At 36.9% G+C, this 20,569-nt stretch overlaps 1 protein-coding gene and 2 long non-coding RNA genes across 18 annotated transcripts in view; 1 reads left to right on the top strand and 2 right to left on the bottom strand.

Moving 5' to 3' along the window:
• PKHD1 (PKHD1 ciliary IPT domain containing fibrocystin/polyductin) overlaps positions 1-20,569 on the top strand; it is a 472,317-nt gene that overhangs the window by 389,271 nt on the left and 62,477 nt on the right. Inside the window, exon 61 of one of the 16 annotated variants that reach the window (XM_011514686.3) lies at positions 16,102-18,772. The exons of the other annotated variants lie outside the window; for them this stretch is intronic. Within the exon in view, the coding sequence (XP_011512988.1) occupies positions 16,102-16,154 (53 nt within the window). The 3' untranslated portion in view covers positions 16,155-18,772. Of the gene's footprint in view, positions 1-16,101; positions 18,773-20,569 lie in introns of those variants that run through there. 16 annotated transcript variants of the gene reach the window in all.
• Positions 12,932-14,379, bottom strand: LOC105375087 (uncharacterized). Its single transcript, XR_007059605.1, has 3 exons — positions 14,288-14,379; positions 14,041-14,173; positions 12,932-12,995 (listed from the first exon to the last, which is right to left on the bottom strand). It is a non-coding gene; the product is annotated as an uncharacterized LOC105375087 (long non-coding RNA).
• Positions 14,375-20,569, bottom strand: part of LOC124900615 (uncharacterized) — a 31,884-nt gene continuing 25,689 nt past the window's right edge. Inside the window, exon 3 of the long non-coding RNA XR_926871.3 lies at positions 14,375-14,420. This is a non-coding gene — a long non-coding RNA (uncharacterized LOC124900615). The remainder of the gene's footprint in view (positions 14,421-20,569) is intronic.

Below are 20,569 nucleotides of genomic sequence, written 5' to 3'. Positions count from 1 at the left end.
CATTTTAATGATTCTGGTTAGATCCCAAATAATTAAGAATGCTATGATATACTTCATCTGATTCCCAAGGATTTGATTTTCTACTCTGCAATGAGTCTGTACGAATGGGAATACAATTATTCTGTCTAGTCTAATGGGTTTTATACCTCTAGAACCTCAACATTTTATAAGAAAAGCAAATCAGCCTCTTCCTGTTTGTAATATGGCTGTTCAGACCTGTTTAGTGGTCTCTGAGTGAATTATTTCCAAATAATTGATCATTGATAACTCTTAACACAGTTACTTTGTACCATTTACTTTCTAACAGATGACTTGATTCGTTAAGAAAGGGATGATTTAATTGGCTAATATAATGTGATCCTTTCCTTACTTCCTATCTCCTAGGTATTTGTTGAATGTATAAGCATTGTTTTAGTGCCAACAGCAATGTATTTAGTGTTTACAACTTCTTAATGAGGATTTAAAAAAAGTAAATGCCAGGTAGGAGACAAGCCATATTGCAAATGCCCAGGAATTGAAATTTGGGCATCCTACTCAATAAGAATGTTTGCTGTTGTTGTTTATAGTCAGAGTTCTGGCTGAGGTGTTAAAATGATAAGAAGTCAGCCATGCTGCAAGAGCAGTAAGAAACCTAAGAACAGGGTATGTGAAGAATCCCTCTGTAGCACTGACTTCTCAACCAGGATGATTTTGCCCTTCGGGGACATTTGGCAATGTCTGCAGATATTTTCAGTTGCCACAACTGGGGACACGGGGGTGTACTTATGGGCGTTTAGTGGATGGAGGCCAGGGAGGCTGCTAAATATCCTATGATGTACAGAACAGCCTCATACAATTTTCCACTTCAATATCTCAAAAGTGCCAAGGTTGACAGCCCCCATTCTGAAGTGAGGAGAATGTGTTTTCAGCATTGAGCATAATACTTTGAACATGGTAGGTGCAGAATATGTGTTGATGGGATTTTCACAAGAGACCTCTCCAATCAGATTTGATTGCAATTATTGTAATCAAAGTAATTGCAAATAAATGCTAATCTAACACAAATTTCATGACATGCACTACAATTACCTCACAGCGTGTTTGGTTAGGCACACATCCAAAGCACTCATTAAGAGGACAATTACTAGTATCCTTTATATTTATTTATTTATTTATTTATTTATTTGAGACGGAGTCTCACTCTGTTGCCCAGGCTGGAGTGCAGTGGTACGATCTCACGTCACTGCAACCTCTGCCTCAGCGACTCTCCTGCCTCAGCCTCCTGAGTAGCTGGGACATCAGGTGCGTGTCACCATGCCTGGGTAATTTTTCTATTTTTAGTAGAGATGGGGTTTCACCATGTTGGCCAGGCTGGTTTCAAACTCTTGCCCTCAAGTGATCTGCTCACCTCAACCTCCCAAAGTGCTGGGATTCCAGGCATGAGCCACCACACCAGGCCCAATTATGAGTATCCTTTTAAACCTGTGAGACTAAATACTGTTTTCCTCTCTTCTCTTTTACAGTTAATTTTCAAGGATTGGTCGTCAGTTTGGTTTATTTTTTCCATCTCCCACTATCAATGACACACGTAGTTTCTGGACCTCATATCCCATCAGCTGGGGCTCTATCCCACGCACAGTTCTCTAGGGCCACATTCCCCTGTGTTCCACCTCTAACCTGGCTTGCTCATCCCATCCTTAGCTGTTGATCCTATTAAACTTCATGGATTTTAGAGCAGGATATCCATTTGCTTTGTCTCTTTCTGTTCTGAAAATAAACTCTTTATAATGAGATAGAAAACAGTAGGGTAAGAGTTCTGGAGCAGGAGATGATTACATAATGGATCAGGGGAGGTTGCACAGAAGGGGTTGAGTTTCTCAGTCCTTGGTTTGAGACTTAAGATAGCCACTTTCTAGACATTTGGACAGATTTTTGCTTAGTTGGGTGATATTCATGATGGCTCTCGTGAACCTTGCTCTACTGCTTCTGAGAACTAACCTTCTGGAAGCTTCAGCCCCATTTTCTTCTTTCCAGGGATCACTGATGTATCTATGATTAAAGATCAGCTACCATTCTCTGCTGACTTTGTGTCTGCCCATCACTTCCAAATCTTTAAAGCAGAACTGGCTGCAGAGTAGCCTTCCAAGTGCTACAGGTTTGCAAACAATGAGAAGAGACTTTTCTAAAAACCACAGCACTGCTTGAAACTTGGTGCTTTAATTCCTTTCAGTCCACAACTAGAGATTTTTTAAATGTTCATATTTGTAAATGCAAACTGAGTGCTAGCTTCTTAGAAGAAGTTTTTATTACAATTCAAATAAAGATGACAGATTCTTTCTTCTGAAGAAATAGATGTAGTTTTGGGAGCCCCAGTGTGGAACAGGTTATTTTTCAAGAAGCAAAAGGACCATCAACGCAAACTTTTCTTACCTCAAAATTTCACTTTGGGCTTGTGCCATTTTTCTTCTGCTCTTCGTATTCAAATGTACAACAGACACAAGATAGTAAAGGGGGGAAGAGAGGGAATTAAAAATTTCATTTAGAATCCCTGTTACATAAAGAATTTTTTCTACCTTTTAGCCTCTACAAAACGTAGAAATTTATTGTTAATATATTTTTCAGAGATATTCACATATATCCATGTTGTTATTATTTTAAACCAAGGATATAAGGCAGCCATCAGTCATCATTTTCATAACCTATAAAATAACTTTCTCTGAGTGTCAAGAGTATCAGTTTTTGAGTGTCAGGTAAACACAACACTGCTTCAAGCTGAATAACTATAGAAATGAATCCTAGGAATATGTTACATAGATACAAATTATGTCCTGATTCCTACCAATTTAATAAACTATGGACTTAAAGATTTCTTCTTCTTCCTCCTCTCCTTCCTCTTCTTCTTCCTCCTCTTCTTCCTCTTCTCCTCCTACTCCTCTTCATTTTTCTTCTTCTTCTCTGGCAAAGCAATATTTATGTTTCAGGAATAACAGTATTAAGTGCTATGGAGAAGGGTTAGAGGGTTGAGATTGAGGTTACATTATAAAGACAAGTTGAAAGCTTCAATTTATACTTGAGAATAACAAGATATGAAAGGATTTTGAGAAAATCCTTTGTTCATTAGATAATGTTTATTTAACAAGATGAGTGTTTTCAATGAGATTATACTGTGGATTTTATTGAAAAGACTTTAAGAAGTAAGGTCTCTGTTCTTTAAATCCTGCTGATTTAAAGAAATATTATTAAATACTTTTAAGTCCATTTTTATTCAGCTTTGTCTACTTGCCATTGGTTATAATAGACTTAAAACCTTAAATCTTATTCCTTTATTCTTCAATTTTTGTTTTAAAATTTTGGCAACATTGTTTTCTTTGTGCTTGTTGTTATTCATAGATCCCAGCAGAATTTCCAATTTTTTTTATAGTCAGTGCCATTGGAAGAAACCATAATATCATTGTCAGTGGGAAATCTGTTAGCAAGGAAATCTCTGCAGTGACAATGTGGCAGTACAGCTGTGTTGTCTTCTGTGGGTCAGAAGTGATGTGACTGTACCACTCAGTTTACTCAGCACAGTCTGTTTATACACACAGTCCCAACATAATTGTAATAGCACCAACTCTTGATTTGAACAGTAAAATTTTGTGGTTACTCACGACTTACAAATCTATATGGAAGGTTGGGTGCAGTGGCTCATGCCTGTAATTCTAGCACTTTGGGAGGCTGAGGCAGGTGGATCACTTGAGGTCAGGAGTTCAAAACCAGCCTGGCCGACATGGTGAAACCTGGTCTCAACCAAAAAAAAAAAAAAAAAAAAAAAAAAGGCTGGTTGTGGTGGCGGGCACCTGTAATCTGAGCTACTTGGGAGGCTGAGGCAGGAGAATTGCTTGAACCAGGGAGGGAGAGGTTGCAGTGAGCCGAGATCACGCCACTGCATTCCAGCCTAGGCAACAGAGAAAGACTCTATCTCAAAATAAGTAAATAAATAAATTTAATGAATTAATTAAAAAAAGAAATCCATATGGAAGAGTGGTAGTGGTTTTAAGTGGTTCATTTTTTTGCTGGTGTGGTGGAGGTGTGGCTTGTGAAAAAGATCAGTAAAATTAGATTATCCAGGATGAGACCAGAATGTAGTAGAATTTTTTTGGAACTGAGAAAGAAAACATTTGCAGGCATTGTTAAAAACTAACAAGCTGAAAGCAGGTAGGAGGGAGAAAATTTAAAAAAAAGCATCATAACAGCAAGAATATTAATTATTAAGATGAAGCCAGGTGGCATGGTGGTGGTGGTGAGGTGGTAAGAGAGGCGGGAATGGGGTACCTAGGACTCAGCACTCAATGCTACTTTAAGAAACTTAACTAATTGTTTATATAGTAAAATAATATAATGTAGAGGTCAAGGACAGGGGGTTTGAATCAGATTGCCTGGGTTCACTTTCTGCAAGCTACTTAAAAGTGAAAAAGATGCTTAAGCCCTATATGCCTCATTTCCCTCATCTGTAAAATGGGAGTAATAGTAATACCTTTTTATTGTGGAGATTAAATGAATTAATGCTTATAAAGCACTTAAAACAGCAGTTGTCTCATTGTAAGCACTCAGTCACTCAGTACATGTCATCTGGTATTATTATTGTTGTTATTGTTTTCAATGAGCAAAGGAGGTAATGGCTATACCACTGCCATCCCATGTTTTTAATGAAGCTGCCCATATTGTCTTCTGGAGGCAATCTCATCCGCTGAACCAGCTGGGCTGGATGGGTTTTCTGTCTCCATCACTTATTTGTTCAGCAAATTTCTGAACTTCTCTTTAGTCTATCTCTACATCTTGATAGAGATAAAAATAACATGGACTATTTAGGTTTATTGTAATGATTAGATTTGCTACAATCTTTGTAAACCACTTCACAAGGTCCCAGGCACATGGTCAGTTCTAGGTAAATGTTAGAAGTTGTTCTAAAGAAATCTTTTTGTATAAACGTGCCTGTATAATAAGGCATACATAAGCCATTTGTTTTCTGGGTCTCTTAAGTCAAATAATTGTTAAGTAGTAGATAGTAAGTATATGGTTCACATGGAGGCATGGAGGGCCAATGGGAAAGTGTTATGTTTGAGCCATGTGTGAAATGCCTTCATAGAGAAAAGTGGCTGAGAATACAGTTCTGTTATTCAGGACAGATGATGATTTTGGGGCCTATTAGTACATGAATCTCTCTCTCCCTTTCTATGTGTGTGTATGAATGTGCACTTGTGCAGGGGACATATGTGTTGACAAATAACTGAACCCTGAAGAATACCACTTCATAAATGATCAGGTCAAGGAAAGCCACCAAAACAGCAAAAAACAACAATACATACCACAGTTGAGGAGAAACAAAGATAAGAGAGAAATAAGGAGATAGTGATGCCCTAAGAGTTAAATCCAAAGAACATTTCAAGAACAGCAAAAAATGTTATAATTAAGTCAAAATGATTAAATCAGAAAATAAAGGCCTCTAATAACATTACTGAGAATAGTGTTGACAGAGTGATTGGGGCAAAATCTAGATGTCAGTGGATTGAGATTTATCAAAAACATGAGAAAAATTAAACAATAAATACTAATATAAAACAAAACCATAAGAAAACTTAGCTTTTCAAAGAGTTTGACAGTAAGTGGAAAAAAAAGATAGGTGATGTTTATTATATAGAAAACTTATGCATCTGTCAGTTGATGGGAAGAATTTTGAACATCTAAGAAATGGGAAAAAAATGGACGAGACTAACTTGTGATGTTCAAGGAGGAGTAGACTGGGACAAGGTCACTTGTGTAGAAACTATACCTAGGGAAAAGGAAGAATAACCATGTCGGAGGGAGGTAAGGAAGAGTGAATATTTTTAAAAGGTTTTGGTAAAAGTGTCCTCAGATTTGTTTGAGAAATCAGTGACTAAGTCATGGAGGTAGAAGAATAGCAAGAGGTCAAACTTTGAACAGAAAAGAATTTTAACTAGAGATGAATGGAAGATGAGTTGATTAGTACTGAAGGCTCAATTAAGGTTGGAAATAAAGCATTTGTGATAGCACCAAATGACACAGAACTCAGTGGTGTGTGTGTGTGTGTGTGTGTGTGTGTGAATTATGTGATTTTCTACAGAATTCTTAAACTTTCCAGAAGCAAAAGTGATGGCAGTGGATACATAGCTTTGCCAAGAACTGGGGATTTTCAATGTGAACATGGGAGAAGAATGAAGGTTGAGAGATTGGGAGGAGTGAGAATACTTATTTGAGCATTAAGTGAATGATGAAGAAAGGAGTTGCTGTTAGGTATGAAATGGGAGGAAGCCCAGAAAGGGCTGAACAACTGAAGACTAGAGTGAATGTGGAAAAGAAGGAGGTTTGACTGGAGAGACAAGTTTCCTTGTTTAGTATGTTGGAGATGGAGGGTTCGTAAGAAATGAAAAGAGCCAGCGTTTGCCATTAGATTGGGTAGTAGCTTGGTGATCTCTAGGTGATAAAATACTTTTGGTGGTGAATGCTGAAAGGCACATCAATGATAATTTACTTAATCGAATCCCACTTTTTTAAAACTTTTAAGCTCAGGGGTACAAGTGCAGGTTTTTTACATAGGTAAACTTATGTCATGGGGGTTTGTTGTACAGATTATTTTGTCACCCAGGTATTAAGCCTAGTACTCATTGGTTATTTTTCCTGATCCTCTTAATTCTTCTACCCTCTACCCATCAAAAGGCCCCAATGTCTGTTGTTCCTGTCTACGTGTCTGTGTGTTCCCCTCATTTAGCTTCCACTTATAAGTGAGAACATGCAGTATTTGGTTTTCTTTTCTCATGTTAGTTTGCTAAGGATAATGGCCTTCAGCTTCATCAATGTCCTTGCAAAGCACATGATCTCATTCTTTTTTGTGGCTACATAGTATTCCATGGTATATATGTACCACATTTTCTTTAACCAAGCTATAATTAATGGGCATTTAGGTTGATTCTATGTCTTTGCTACTGTGAATAGTGCTGCAACAAATATATTCATGCATGTGTCTTTATAATAGAATGATTTATATTCCTTTGGGTATATACCCAGTAATGAGATTGCTGGGTCAAATGGTATTTCTGTCTTTAGGTCTTTGAGGAATACCACACTGTCTTCCACAATGGCTGGACTGATTTACACTCCCACCAACAATATATAAGCATTCCTTTTTTCTCCACAACTTTGCCAGCTTCTGTTATTTTTTGACTTTTTAGTAATAGCCATTCTGACTGGTGTTAGATGGTATCTCATTGTGGTTTTGATTTGCATTTCTCTAATGATCAGTGATGGTGATCTTTTTTTCATATGGTTGTTGGCTGCATGTATGTCTTCTTTTGAAAAGTGTCTGTTCATGTCCTTTGTCCATTTTTTAATGGGATTTTTTTTCTTGTAAATGTAAGTTTCTTATAGATGCTGGATATTAGACCTTTGTCAGAAGTATAGTTTGCAAAAACTTTCTCCCATTCTGTAGGTTGACTGTTTACTCTGTTGGTATTTTCTGTTTCTGTGCAGAAGCTATTTATTTAATTATACCCCATTTGTCAATTTTTGCTTTTGTTGCAATTGCTTTTGGTGTCTTTGTCATGAAATCTTTGCTCATGCCTGTGTCCTGAATGGTATTGCCTAGGTTTTCTTCCAGGGTTTTTACAGTTGTGGGTTTCACATTTAAGTCTTTAGTCCATCTTGAGTTAATTTTCGTATATGGTGAAGGAAGGGGTCCAGTTTTAATCTTCTGCCTGTTGCTAGCCAGTTCTCCCAGAACCATTTATTGAATAGGGAATCCCTTCTGCATTGTTTGTTTTTGTCAGGTTTATCAAATATCAGATAGTTGTAGGTGTGTGGTCTTATTTCTGGGTTCTCTCTTCTGTTTCATTGGTCTGTGTCTTGTTCTCGTACCAGTACTATGCTGTTTTGATTACTATAGGCCTGTAGTATAGTTTGAAGTTGGATAGCATGATACCTCCAGCTTTATTCTTTTTGCTTAGGATTGTCTTGGCTATTCGATCTCTTTTTTGGTTCCATGTACATTTAAAAATAATTTTCCCTAGTTCTTTTTTTTTTTTTTTTTTTTTTTTTTTTGAGATGGAGTCTCACTCTGTCACCCAGGCTGGAGGGCAGTGTCATGATCTCGGCTCGCTACAACCTCCGCCTCCCGAGTTCAAGCGATTCTTCTGCCTCAGCCTCCGGAGTAGCTGGGTCTACAGGTGCATGCCACCATGCCTGGCTAATTTTTGTATTTTTAGTAGAGACGGGGTTTCTTCATATTGACCAAGCTGGTCTCGAGCTCATGACCCTGTGATCCGCCCATCTCTGCCTCCCAAAGTGTTGGGATTACAGGCGTGAGCCACCACGCCTGGCCTAGTTTTCCCTAGTTCTGTGAAGAATTTCAATGGTAGTTTATAGGAATAGCATTGAATCTATAAATTGCTCTGGGCAGTATGGCCATATTAACAATATTGATTCTTTCTTCCATAAGCATGGAATGTTTTTCCATTTGTTTGTGTCATCTCTGATTTCTTTGAGCAGTTGTTTTAGTTTTGGATAAAAAAATCTTTCACCCCCATAATTAGCTGTATTCCTAGGTATTTTATTATTTTTGTGGCAATTATGGATGGGAGTTCATTTGTGATTTGGCTTTCAGCTTCTCTGTTGTTGGTGTATAGGAATGCTAGTGATTTTTGCACATTGATTTTGTATCCCAAGACTTTGCTGAAGTTGTTTATCAGCTTAAGAAGCTTTTGGGCTGAGACTATGGGGTTTTCAAGACATAGGATCATGTCCTCTACAAACAAGGATAGTTTGCTTTCTTCTCTTCCTATTTGGATGCTCTTTATTTCTTTCTCTTGCCTAATTGCCCTGGCCAGAACTTCCAGTACTATTTTGAATAGGAGTGGTGAGAGAGGACATCCTTGTCTTGTGCCAGTTTTCAAGGGGAATGCTTCCAGCTTTTGCTCATTCAGTATGATGTTTGCTGTGGGTTTATCATATATGACTCATTATTTTGAGGTATGTTCCTTCAATAATTAGTTTATTGAGAGTTTCTAACATGAACTGATGTCGAATTTTATCGAAGGCCTTTTCTGCATTGATTGAGATAATCATGTGGTTTTTGTCTTCAGTTCTGTTTAAGTGATGAATCAAATTTATTAATCTGCATATGTTGAACCAATCTTGCATCCTGAGGATGAAGACTACTTGATCTTGATGGATAAGCTTTTGATGTGCTGCTGGTTTTGGTTTGCCAGTATTTTATTGAGGATTTTTGCATCGATGTTCATCAGGGATATTGGCCTGAAGTTTTCTTTTTTTTGTTGTATCTCTGCCAGGTTTTGGTATCAGGATGATGCCGGCCTTATAGAATGTGTTAGTGCGGAGTCCCTCCTCAATTTTTTGGAATTGTTTCAGTAGAAATGTTGCTAGCTTTTCTTTGTACATCTGGTAGAATTCGGCTGTGAATTTGACTGGTCCTGGGCTTTTTTTGGTTAGTAGGCTATTTATTACTGACCCAATTTCAAGGTAGTTATTGGTCTGCTCAGGGATTCAATTTCTTCCTGGTTTAGCCTTGGGAGGGTGTATGTGTCCAGGAATTTATCCATTTCTTCTAGATTTTCTAGTTTGTATGCATAAAATAGAAAACACTGGAGGTGTTTATAATATTCTCTGATGGTTGTTTGTATATCTGTGGGGTCCGTGGTGATATCCCCCTTGTTGTTTCTGATTGTGTTTATTTGAATCTTCTCTCTTTTCTTCCTTATTAGTTTAGCTAGTGATCTATATTATTTATTTTTATTAAAAAAAGAATAGCTCCTGGATGTGTTGATTTTTTGAATTTTTTTTTTTGTGTGTGTTTCTATCTCTTTCAGTTCAGCTCTGATCTTGGTTATTTCTTGTTTTCTGCTAGCTTTGAGATTTGTTTGCTCTTGGTTCTCTAGTTGTTTTAGTTGTGATATTAGGTTGTTAACTTGAGATGTTTCTAAGTTTTTGATGGTGACTTTGAAGTCCTGAGAGGGAAGACAACTTGTTTAAGAATAGCAAATTTTGGGACAACTGCTAGTAGAACCCAAGTCCAATTCTCCCCAATATGGGGTTGTGTTTAACAAACCAAGGCATTTTATACTTAAATCAGTCAAGTACTGATTCATTCTGTGAAGGGGGAAATACTGTATTATAAAATGGCTCTAGATTGTGCTTACGAATTAATAAACAGATCTCTTTCTGTGCACTTCATCAGATAAATTCATGGTGTCAAATTCTAGCAGCCTACTGCTGTCAATGACATGTACATCAGAGTGAAAATGTAATCCAGGTGACATATGACATAAAAAAGTCACATTGCCTAGTACCAGCCCTTTCTCAAGTCTAGTTAATTAGTAGTATTTTTTGGTTAATTCAAGTGGATGGATCTCAAGGCAATACTATTTGTAGAATGCAATCTGATACTGAGTATTAATCCACATCGTTTGAAAATATGAAAATAATTTTAGGATCTCTTTGGAGATTGCAGTGTCAAAACTGAACTGATTTACTAACTCACAAATTCATCCTCTATTTGAGAAACATTAGTTTTATTACCAACACCAAGAGCATCATGTTATGACAAGAACATCATGTTATGACAAGAACATTAGACACAGATGTCAAGAGACCAGTATTTAATTAATTCACTTTGTCTTTGGGCAAGTACTAAATTTTAAGAAACTCAGTTTTTTCATCAGGCAAATGGAAATCCCACCTCTTATTTCTGCCTTTTAAAGTTGTTGTGAAGGGCAAATGATAACAGGTGACATGGTGGCAAAATGTGTGCAATGGTGGCTATCATATGGCTTCAGGCCCTGCTGGCCACTGAATAGATGGGTGTCTATGGATATTTAACACCATGAGCTTAGGTTTAGTTATCTGTAGAATAGAAATACAGGAATTATCTTTCATGTTGTCAACATTTATATATAATGCATACAATATAGCTGATACAGAAAAGGATCTATTATTAACACATAATGGCAAGAGTTATTATTAGTACTTAACATATTAAAATGTGCCATACAAATGCAACTTTTTTTTTCATTTTTTATCATCTGATTTTTGTTGTATTCTTTCTCTGTGCCCTATCTTCATAGAGTACTTTCTTCAGACAATCTGATTTAATTCATATGCCTAACTAACTTGGTGACCTTCTTGCCTCATGTTTAATTCATTCCTCTCTGTGAAGGAAGGGTACTAGAAATAGTATTATCCATTTCTTCCCTGCTCCTCTTTTCCCCTTTCCTTCTCATTCACTCTTGACAATGAAAGAACTTACATCCCCGTTTTTGGTGCCATGATTTCAGGAGGGCAAGAACATCAACTTTTCTGAAAACCAAGAGAAAGTGGAGTACCTGAGAAAATGTAACTTCATATCTGGCCTCTGAAAGACATATGAAATATACAGTCCTTGCAAAATATTTTTAGAAAGTTGTCCTTGTAGATTTCAAACATGCAAGTGAGTAGATCATAGTTTCAACTTGAATGTTCAATTTCAATCTGAGCGAATCAGGAAAATTCTAGAGTTAATCATTGAAAACGAATGGATGCATTAAGTTTATTCAATTTAACACATATTACTGAGTCTACTATGTGCCTGGTGCTTTTCTGGCTAGTTGTAAAGTGTCAAAACTAGACAAATAACCCTGCTCTCATAGGGCTTACTTTCTTAGCTTACTTAGAGGAGTGACTAAGTAATATACATAATAAATAAGTAAATTCTCTAGTAGATTATAAAGTTATAAGTGCTATAGACAAAAGAAAAAATGTAGAGCATCATAGAAAGCAAAAAGAATGCTTGTACATAGGCTGACCAAAGTAGGCCTCACTGAGAAGGAGACAGAGAAGAGGGTGTGGGATTGAGCCACAGGAACACCTGGGAGAAAAGTAGAGAGATCTGCCTTGGCAGAGTCCCCAAGTGGGGAGAGTGCCTGCAGTGTGTGAGGATTAGCAAGGAAGTCAGAGTGGCTTGAGCAGAATGACCAGGAAGGGAATTAGCAGAAGACAAAGTCAGAGGTAAAGCGTTCTGGTTCTTTGGAAAGAAGTCCAGCTTTTGTTGTGGTTTTAAAGATTACCAAGTCTAATCATTTTAATATAAACAGTAGAAGGATGATCATCCTTCTTTACAAGGTGAACATGAGTTAAGGGTTCAAAAACCTTCTCACCTTGAATCTCTAGGTAAGATTTAGGTGCTGTCATCCAAGCATGCCATCCATCTAGGACAATGCTGTCAATTTCAGAGTGAATTATAGAATGAATTTTGTCAGCCAGTGATCAGCAGAGAAAGAGTGTTAGAAAAATCTTTATAGAAACTTAAGAAGTGTCAGACGTGGATAAGTGGAATGGAATTTGGATGGAGTTCTGGGTTAGACAGCAGGTAAGTTGTGCCTAAGTGCTGTTGAGCAAAGTGTCTGCATAGGAGGTATAGCTGTGTTTTCCTGACAGTGAGTTTTCCAAGGCTCCACCATATCTTCCACCCCTCACACCAGCAGACTGCTAACCTATAAAACCATTTTTTCTACCAAGTCCTTACATGGCCTGGTAATGATTCTTAAAACAATACTTTGGCAACCACTGCCACAGGAAGGTAGCAACCCTCCTCAACTAAAACAAAGAAGTTGCTTCGGGAAATAGTAAAGTGAAGTGCAGGGAGCAACTGGCAAGGGGCCTTAGGTTATAAGTTGAATCATGTAACTATAGGCCAACGTAAATGTAGGCTAGGACCTCTGGATGGTGAGATAACGAAAGGGACCAATCTCAGAAACACTGGGATACAAGAGCAAAAATTTTCAGATTTTATAGAAGTAGTAAAAATTCTTTAAAAAAATTTTTTTTAACATTGTTTTGTAATATGAGAACAAGTATGCTCTCAAAGAAATTAACAGTGGGAAAATTTAAAACAAGTAAGAGGAAATACTTCTATTCTTAGCGTATAATCAGCCCATAGACTTTTCTGTTGAAGAAGGTCAGGGAGTCAAATGCTGAAGAGGAAAAGAAAAGAGAGGAAAATCTGGTTAATTTTATGACCAATAATAACATTGTAATTATGCCCTAAGATAAGAATAACGAGGTTGAAGTTTTGGGGTATAAAATGATTGTCTCAGAGGACAGGAAGGAATTCTCCCACTCTTACTCCTAACAGTTTGAATGGCCTCAAAGAATTGGCCAGATGTGTAATGGGGTGTAATATTTTCCCAGAAGGCGGCTTCTATTGACCCAGAAAACTATTCTTGAAAGATCAGTGGCTAGTTTTATCTGGAAAATCATGTATTTCAGGGAAAATCAGCCTTAAATTCAAGCAAAAAGAATTTTATAGTTGGTGAAATGATAAACTTCCCAATGATGGATATGCTCTAATTTTGCTTTTGACCCAGTGTGTGATTTTCTCTAAACATAATATTCATAAAACTAACTTAGTGAATCATAATGGATGGAAATTGGCCTTTGACACAGAGCAAGTCCAATGGAAAGCACATGAACTGTCCCATAGGAGTTATAAATATGCTCTTGCCCTTTTGCCAAACTTTTCTCAAAGGTCAAACCAGCTGCTTGTACCTTCTGATTTTGTTTCTTGGCATGCAGTATGCTGCTTAAGTGCTTGCTTTTCAGACCTTAGTAAAGCTGTGAATCCCTAGCAGTCTCTAAAATCTTCTAAATCAGTTTTAAGCTGGCCATCAAGTGGGGGAATATCTAGCAGGGCAAACCTTATCCACAGTCATTTCTTAGTGAACTTCCAAGAGCACAGAATGAAGACAACGATGTCCTATAGATCCCCTTGGAGCCTCTTTAAATGGTAGCTGTAGTGTAGGTCACAATGTCAGATTGCTTGTATTTTTCTCTTCCTTTTGCTTCTAAACTAACTGGGACCTCAGCATTATTTGTTCATTGCCTCTCTGTATGTACTTACTTTTTAAATTTTCTTTATTTACATAAAACATGGATATTGTATGAGACAGAGTTACTCCAATTAACAAATAATCTCCAAATCTCAGTTGTTTAAGAATAGAAAAACTTTGTTTTACTCACATCTCAGCCTGAAGAAGGTTGGGTGACTCTCCTGGTAGCTGCCCTCCTGGTGGTGACTCAGGGAACCAGGCTGCTTCTAACATTTAGTTCTGTTATCTCACAGTCCTTCAAGTACAGCTACAAGTTCAACTTTCTTATTTGGAAAATGGAAGCAATAAAAACACACCGCTCAGTTTGCTATGATAATTAAATAAAATAAGAACTGTTGGTTGAAAGACTTTCAGAATAGCTGGAACATGGTACATACTCAGGAAATGTTGATGTTTCTTCTCTCTTGGTTTGTATATCGGGCACTGGTTGAGTATATGGGAGCAGAAGGACATATGCAAAGGTGAATAAGGCTGATATCTGTACTCAAGTTGCTCATGAGCTCATTGTCTCTAAAAGAGAAGGAGAATTTGTTTCTAAAAACATGACTGAGTAAGCTCCATGAAGGCAAACACTGTGTCTCTCGTTTAATTTTTAACCATTATAATCTCAAAGTTGAATTCATTATCAGGATAATGGCAAATGGTCAATAAATAGTATAAAATCAATGATTACAATATCACAACTATACAATGGAAGAGCTAGAAAATTACATTCTTTCCTCTTTTTCCTCTGTATTACTCACACTGCCCCCGGAATTTACCAAAATCTGATGTGATGGAATAAAACCTAGGATTACTATGATTTCCTGAGTCTATGCCATACATCATCCAAATTGAAGAGATGGTCCTGAAGTATTTCTATATGCAGACCATAGTACACAGCTGCTTATAGTTCTTTAACCTTATATATGGTTGAAAATAAGGTACAATTTTGCTTAATCAGGTATACTTTCCCATCCTGAGCCTATATATTGTGTTTGTTGTCTGATTGGCATCTGTAAATATATTTTTTGGTATTTGTTCTTATAGTTCCAGCCACTACTTTGCCTCAAAGTTTGAATAAAGCCTTTGGTATAAGTAAGCCATTCTGTCTCCCAGTGTTTAGTGTCAATTGTGTATCTCTGTAATCTAGTTATGTTTTCTGACTCAAAATTGGATCCCGAATTGTCCTTAAAATTTGCTCACCTTGCTGAATTATGATACATCAGTTTTCAGGAGGAGTCATTGAACTTAAAGGATAACTTAGAAGTAATTTACCTGAAATCCTCTGAGCCAGAATCTTATTTGTAAGAACTCTAGCAAATTTGTTTGTAAAAAAATCTTCATAGTTGATTTGTTCAACTGACTAAATGGTATCTGGTTGATCTCACCATGTTTCTTATTCACTCTTTCTTCTGGATCCTATTTATTACTGCTAGTTAGCTGATTGTTTGGGTAAAAGCCTCCTTTTTCAATATATTTTCCCCTGCCATGTCTCCCAGACATTAGTACAAATAACTTTTATGTATTCTCCCTGTATTAGGTAAGTATCCAGGTATATTGCTTTGTATGCATAATAAGGAAACTGAGGTGCATGGTAGCCTGTCTGTTTTCAAAGTCAGCAGGATTAGGAAGAAAATCAACTGAAATTGACACTTCAATCTACTGTTTCTATTCCTCAGGTCACAGAGCTTCTATTGGTAAGACTCCCCTAGGCTTTCCCTTCTATAGCTGACACAAGGAACATTATACTCTCATTTTGGTCTCCATCACTTTCTGCCTCCAAAAAGCAGAAGCAGAGGCAAGCTGTTCACTCAACTTGCCCTGTTTCTTTTTCCTCCAAAGGAGAAGACCTGGACATAGCAAAATGAGCAAGCAGAGCCAGCTGTGTGCATTTTTCACCCATATTAAAGCAAAGCCCAAATATAATAACTCATTCTCAGAGACTAGAGCATCCCAATTCTGGGCTTATGAAAATATTTTTACCTAATTACTTCAGTAATCTGTGCGCAGTATGTCAAGTAAATTTCATCTTTATATCACACTGGAAAAGAAGGCAAATTTGAAGAGATTCATAGAACTAGTTTTACAAAGAGCTTTAACAGAGAATACTGATGCTCAGGTATTAGAAAAAGTGAATATTATGATAAATTATGTAAAGAAAACTTGTGTTTAGAGAGAAAATTGTGTTATGTTTCTGTTTTCATCCTAGGTCTCCTGGGGACAAAAGAAGAGTTCCCTTATGTTCTTTATCCTCTTCCCTGAAGCAGGAGATAGTATATATGTTCGGAGGAAAAGATGCATCTAAGAATATTATAGATGCTGCATCCATCAGAGTACTGACATCCTAACCTAGTCTACCCTGATGCTGTATATATCTCAACAGCTTAAAACAACAAAGGCTTATTTCTCGTTTGTACTTCTTGTCCATCTTTGGTTGGCAGGAACTCAAGCTGAAAGATCAGCTTCCATCTCATACTTTTCTGGTCACTGTCTCAAGAGACAAACTCAGAACTCTTAGAACAGAGACTGGCAAACATGTTCTGTTAAGGGCCAGGTGGCAAATATTTTTAACTTTGTAGGCCATACAGTTTCTGTCACAATTTCTCAACTCTGCTGTTGTAGTGCAAAGTAGCCATAGGCAATACATAAACAAATGCGTATAGCTGTGTTCCAATAAAATTTTGTTTATAACAATAGCCAGTGGGCCTGATTTGGCCTGTGGCTTGTAGTTCACCACCTCTTTCAATTAAATAGTATGGCCCAAAAGGGACACTAGTTACCTCTGCTCAATGGTTAATGACTAGTTAATGATCCTATTAACTAGTCATTAAGATACCAATAAGATAATGGGGAAGTGCAAGGCTAGGCTTATATGTATTCACACACATACAAGGAAAACAATGAAGAAATAGCTGAGCAGTTATTTTCACAGATCTACATGCTTGATTAAGGCTACTGGTCTTTTAAAGTTCATCTATTCCCTTCAGTGTTCTCTTTAACTCAGAAAAACAGACTTTACAAGGTGGCAGTATTTATTTGCTAGTTAAGGGGCAATAGCAGTGGTTGGTCAACCAAACATGACATTGCTAAGGCCTGTGTTTATTCAGGGTTGGTGGCAATGTCTGGTCTGAAGAGCTGGAGTTATTCACAGCATTAAATCTTCACCTTTGGAAATCCTAAGGTGAGTTAGGAAATACATCCTAGAAGCTGATCTTGGGAAAGGATTTGGAAGTAGCAAGGGAGCCATTTTATCAGATGACATTCCACAGCAGTGAAATTGCCTTGGGGAAAAAGTCATTTCTCATAGATCAATTTCTGAGAGGTTTCCTAGATGTAGCAATGCAGTCTATACATGGGCAGCAGTGACAAAATGGGGTTTTCCATTGATTTTACTAGAAATGGAGTTGTACTTAAACTTGCTTTACAATAGAGGGATGCCACTTATGTATTTGGTTTTCTGTCAATCCTTAACCCCAATTCACAACCAACCGATTTTTAACTGTATATTTATTCTGTCCCCCTACTGGTTCTTCATTGTCTTATAAAGGCATATGTTTTTTTTTACCCTCAGTTAACACCCTTTCAAGTTTTATTGGCATTGCTCTCAGAGCAAAACGTTAACCGTTCATTTATCTTTACAATAGTTTAATTTGTTTATATTTGTGACTTTTCACTATAGTCTGGAAGTTTAAATATGGAGAAATGTATATTCAAGTGGATTTTTTATTTAATTAAAATAAAGACACTGGGAATCTATAGTGTAGGTAGCAGGCTGTCTGTAATAGGAAATTATTGTTCATGTTGATTACTGTCCATACCTTCTAAAATTTTATGGCACTTTCTTGTAATTGTCACACAAGCAAAATACTTCAGTGAATGCATTTTAATAATTAAATTAAAAACAAAACCAAAACCAAAATAGAACATATACCTGGACTAAGATTTATTAGTTTGTGATAACTCTTGAGTTTTGCTCTCCTAATCAGTGATACTTCTGTGCAATATGAGAAGATTCTAGGGGCAATAGTTACTTGGCCACTTATGATAAAGTGTAAACACCTTTAAAAGTGTGAAAATAACCTTCATATAAGAAAAAATTTCAAGGTCCAGGTGATATTTTTATTTCAAGTAGTGTTGTACTGTACCTTGAAATTAATCGTAATGGTTTACATGAAGCTCCTATTATGATTTTCCCCAAAAAGTTTTAAATTTCATTTCTGAGATTAGCTGCCAATATCAAGCCATCGTGGAAAAAATTTCTAGTACTGCTAGAGAGACTATTTTCCAAATCTCTCTGTTTGGCATAATAATAATAATAATATATATTATGCTTTAGATACTGTTCTGAGCCTTTTAAAATACATTTAATTGGCACAGACACCTTAGGAGCTTGATACCGTAGCATTATTATTCCTACTTTGCAAAGGAGAAAACTGAGATGCAATGAGGCCAAGTTATTTGCCTAGAGTTACACAGAGGGTAAGAAGCAGAGCCAGGATTTGAACCTAGGCAGTTTGCTCCAGAGTCCTGAGAATAATCACTGTGGTATAACATCTTTCACAGCAGAGACAACAGGATTGGCATTAAGATGCCAGAGGAAGGGTGGAGAAATGAGATGCAGAGAAAATGCTAATTTCCTTTCCTTCAGCAACTTGTGTAGAGATTTTTTGTTCCTGAATAAAGGCAGTGTGAAAGGAAAAGAAGCACTTGTAAGCTTCAATTTGCTTTCAATGGGAATCACCGAGTTGGGTCATTATTACCACCTTTCCTTTCCTCCCGAAACATCCTGCTTGGCATTTCTACCACAGGCTTCCTTGGAAATTCTTGACTACCTGAGTTCCCATGCATGACACTCTTGCCTTGAAAAGATTAATATAAAATATCAGTCGAAGGTTTTGTATTCCCAGTGCAGATCTTTATCTCAGAATAAAAAGGGAGAAATTTACCTTCTGTGAGTCATGGGCACTCAGGAGCTGGGAACATTCCCCTGGCAGGGAGAGTTGGCAAAAAAAAAAAAAGTCCTAGTGGATTTCAAGTTTATTTGACTAATTCTTTCACCACTTGTCAAACGAAACTACTTTTGTTTAGGTAACAAAACAAGCTGTTTCCTGTGCCATTTCTCCAGTGAGTAGTATAGGCACTTGTGGCGAACACACATTACTGCTAACTGTTATGATGTTTGCTGTCAAATTCATTTATTTATACAACTGCTGCAAAAAGCCTGAGGCCCATAAGCAGCCATGAAAGATTTCAGAGTCATGGTGTGGGGTCATGAGAGGGAAAAAAATTCTCCACTGGTTATGAGAAAGGAACTGACACAGGAAATGGTCACATATGGCGCAGATTTATTGTGTCCGGGGCTTCCCATTCAAATCTCATTATAGCCACAGCTCAGAGCAGGGCATGGCACAGTCACATTCATTTTAGTTTTGGCACCCAGCAGAAATTACTGCTGCAGCTTCAAACTGAGGGCTGGAGAGGTGATAAGTTTATCATTCTGGGTAAAGAGTGTGCCAGGAATTGCATCTGCAAAGAATGCTGTTGGCTGCTCCTGTGTTTAACCCATGAACATCAGTTTGTTTAAAGCTGGCAGGCAAGATTTGCTAGCTAGCTAAATAAATAAATAAATAAAATTAACATTAAAAAGTAAGAAGGTAGAGAGAAGGTGTAGGGTGATGATGGCGAATATTATATTATAAAAGAAATGAAGAGAAAGTTAAGAATAGATGAACAGGAAAATAATCTTAGATTTTCAGGTTGGGTTTTTTTCTTGATTGGTGGAAAATATAGGTGCTCTATTCATAGACACATGTGCACAGGCACACACAGATGTATATGTACTTATGTATGTGCATTTCTTTCTTGCTGATATTTTCTTGAAAACATAGGTTGTCATTTCTACCTTCCAGCATTTTCTTCACCTGTAACTTGTCTCTTTCAACAGTGTTTATTATGAATGTTTGCAACACTTCAGGTGCTGTTCCAGAATACTAGACAAACACTGGTTTGAGATAAGGATAGAGCCATAAAAGGCAAAAGGAGACTGGAAGGTAGCTTTAAAAATTCTCTTTTTAAAATTATAGGAATGTAACAGCTTGTATTTATTAACATGTGTTTTTCTCTCACTCTGTGCATACGTCATCTAACTTAGCCCTCTCCATCAGCTTATGAATTAAGTACCATTTCCAATCCCTTTGACAATGAAAAAAATGATTCAGAGGGAGGATAAGTAACTTGTCTGTGTTTTGCAGCTAGAAAGTGGCAGAGCCAGCTTGCAATGCAAGTCTCTCTGACTTTAAAATCTGATCTCCCACTCGCTAAGCTGTACTTCCTGAGTTTGAATTTGCCTGGGCTGTTTTCAATGTAATATTCAAATAATAAAATCATAATTGGGACCATATTCTTTGATGTTTTCAGGTGAAAACATATTACAACAAAATAACGAAAATACAAAAACACTTTCTAAACCACTTTTTCAAGCAATGTATAGATGATGACATTTTACCCTAGTAAAACAATTATAAAATAGTCTATTGAATTTGTTTGAACAGATTTCTACTAATAAAAGTAAGGATTTTTTTTTGAATTTAAAAAAGTAAAAAGGAAAAATGGTTGAATCAGAAGAAGGGTCTATTGGGTATAGATCTGACCTTCTCTCTCATATTGTCATGCCATCA

Source organism: Homo sapiens, chromosome 6 (genome assembly GCF_000001405.40).
Source record: "Homo sapiens chromosome 6, GRCh38.p14 Primary Assembly".
NCBI classification, from domain to species: domain Eukaryota; kingdom Metazoa; phylum Chordata; class Mammalia; order Primates; family Hominidae; genus Homo; species Homo sapiens.
Note: the sequence above shows the minus strand (reverse complement) of the source record. Positions and strands in the feature narration are given on the sequence as shown.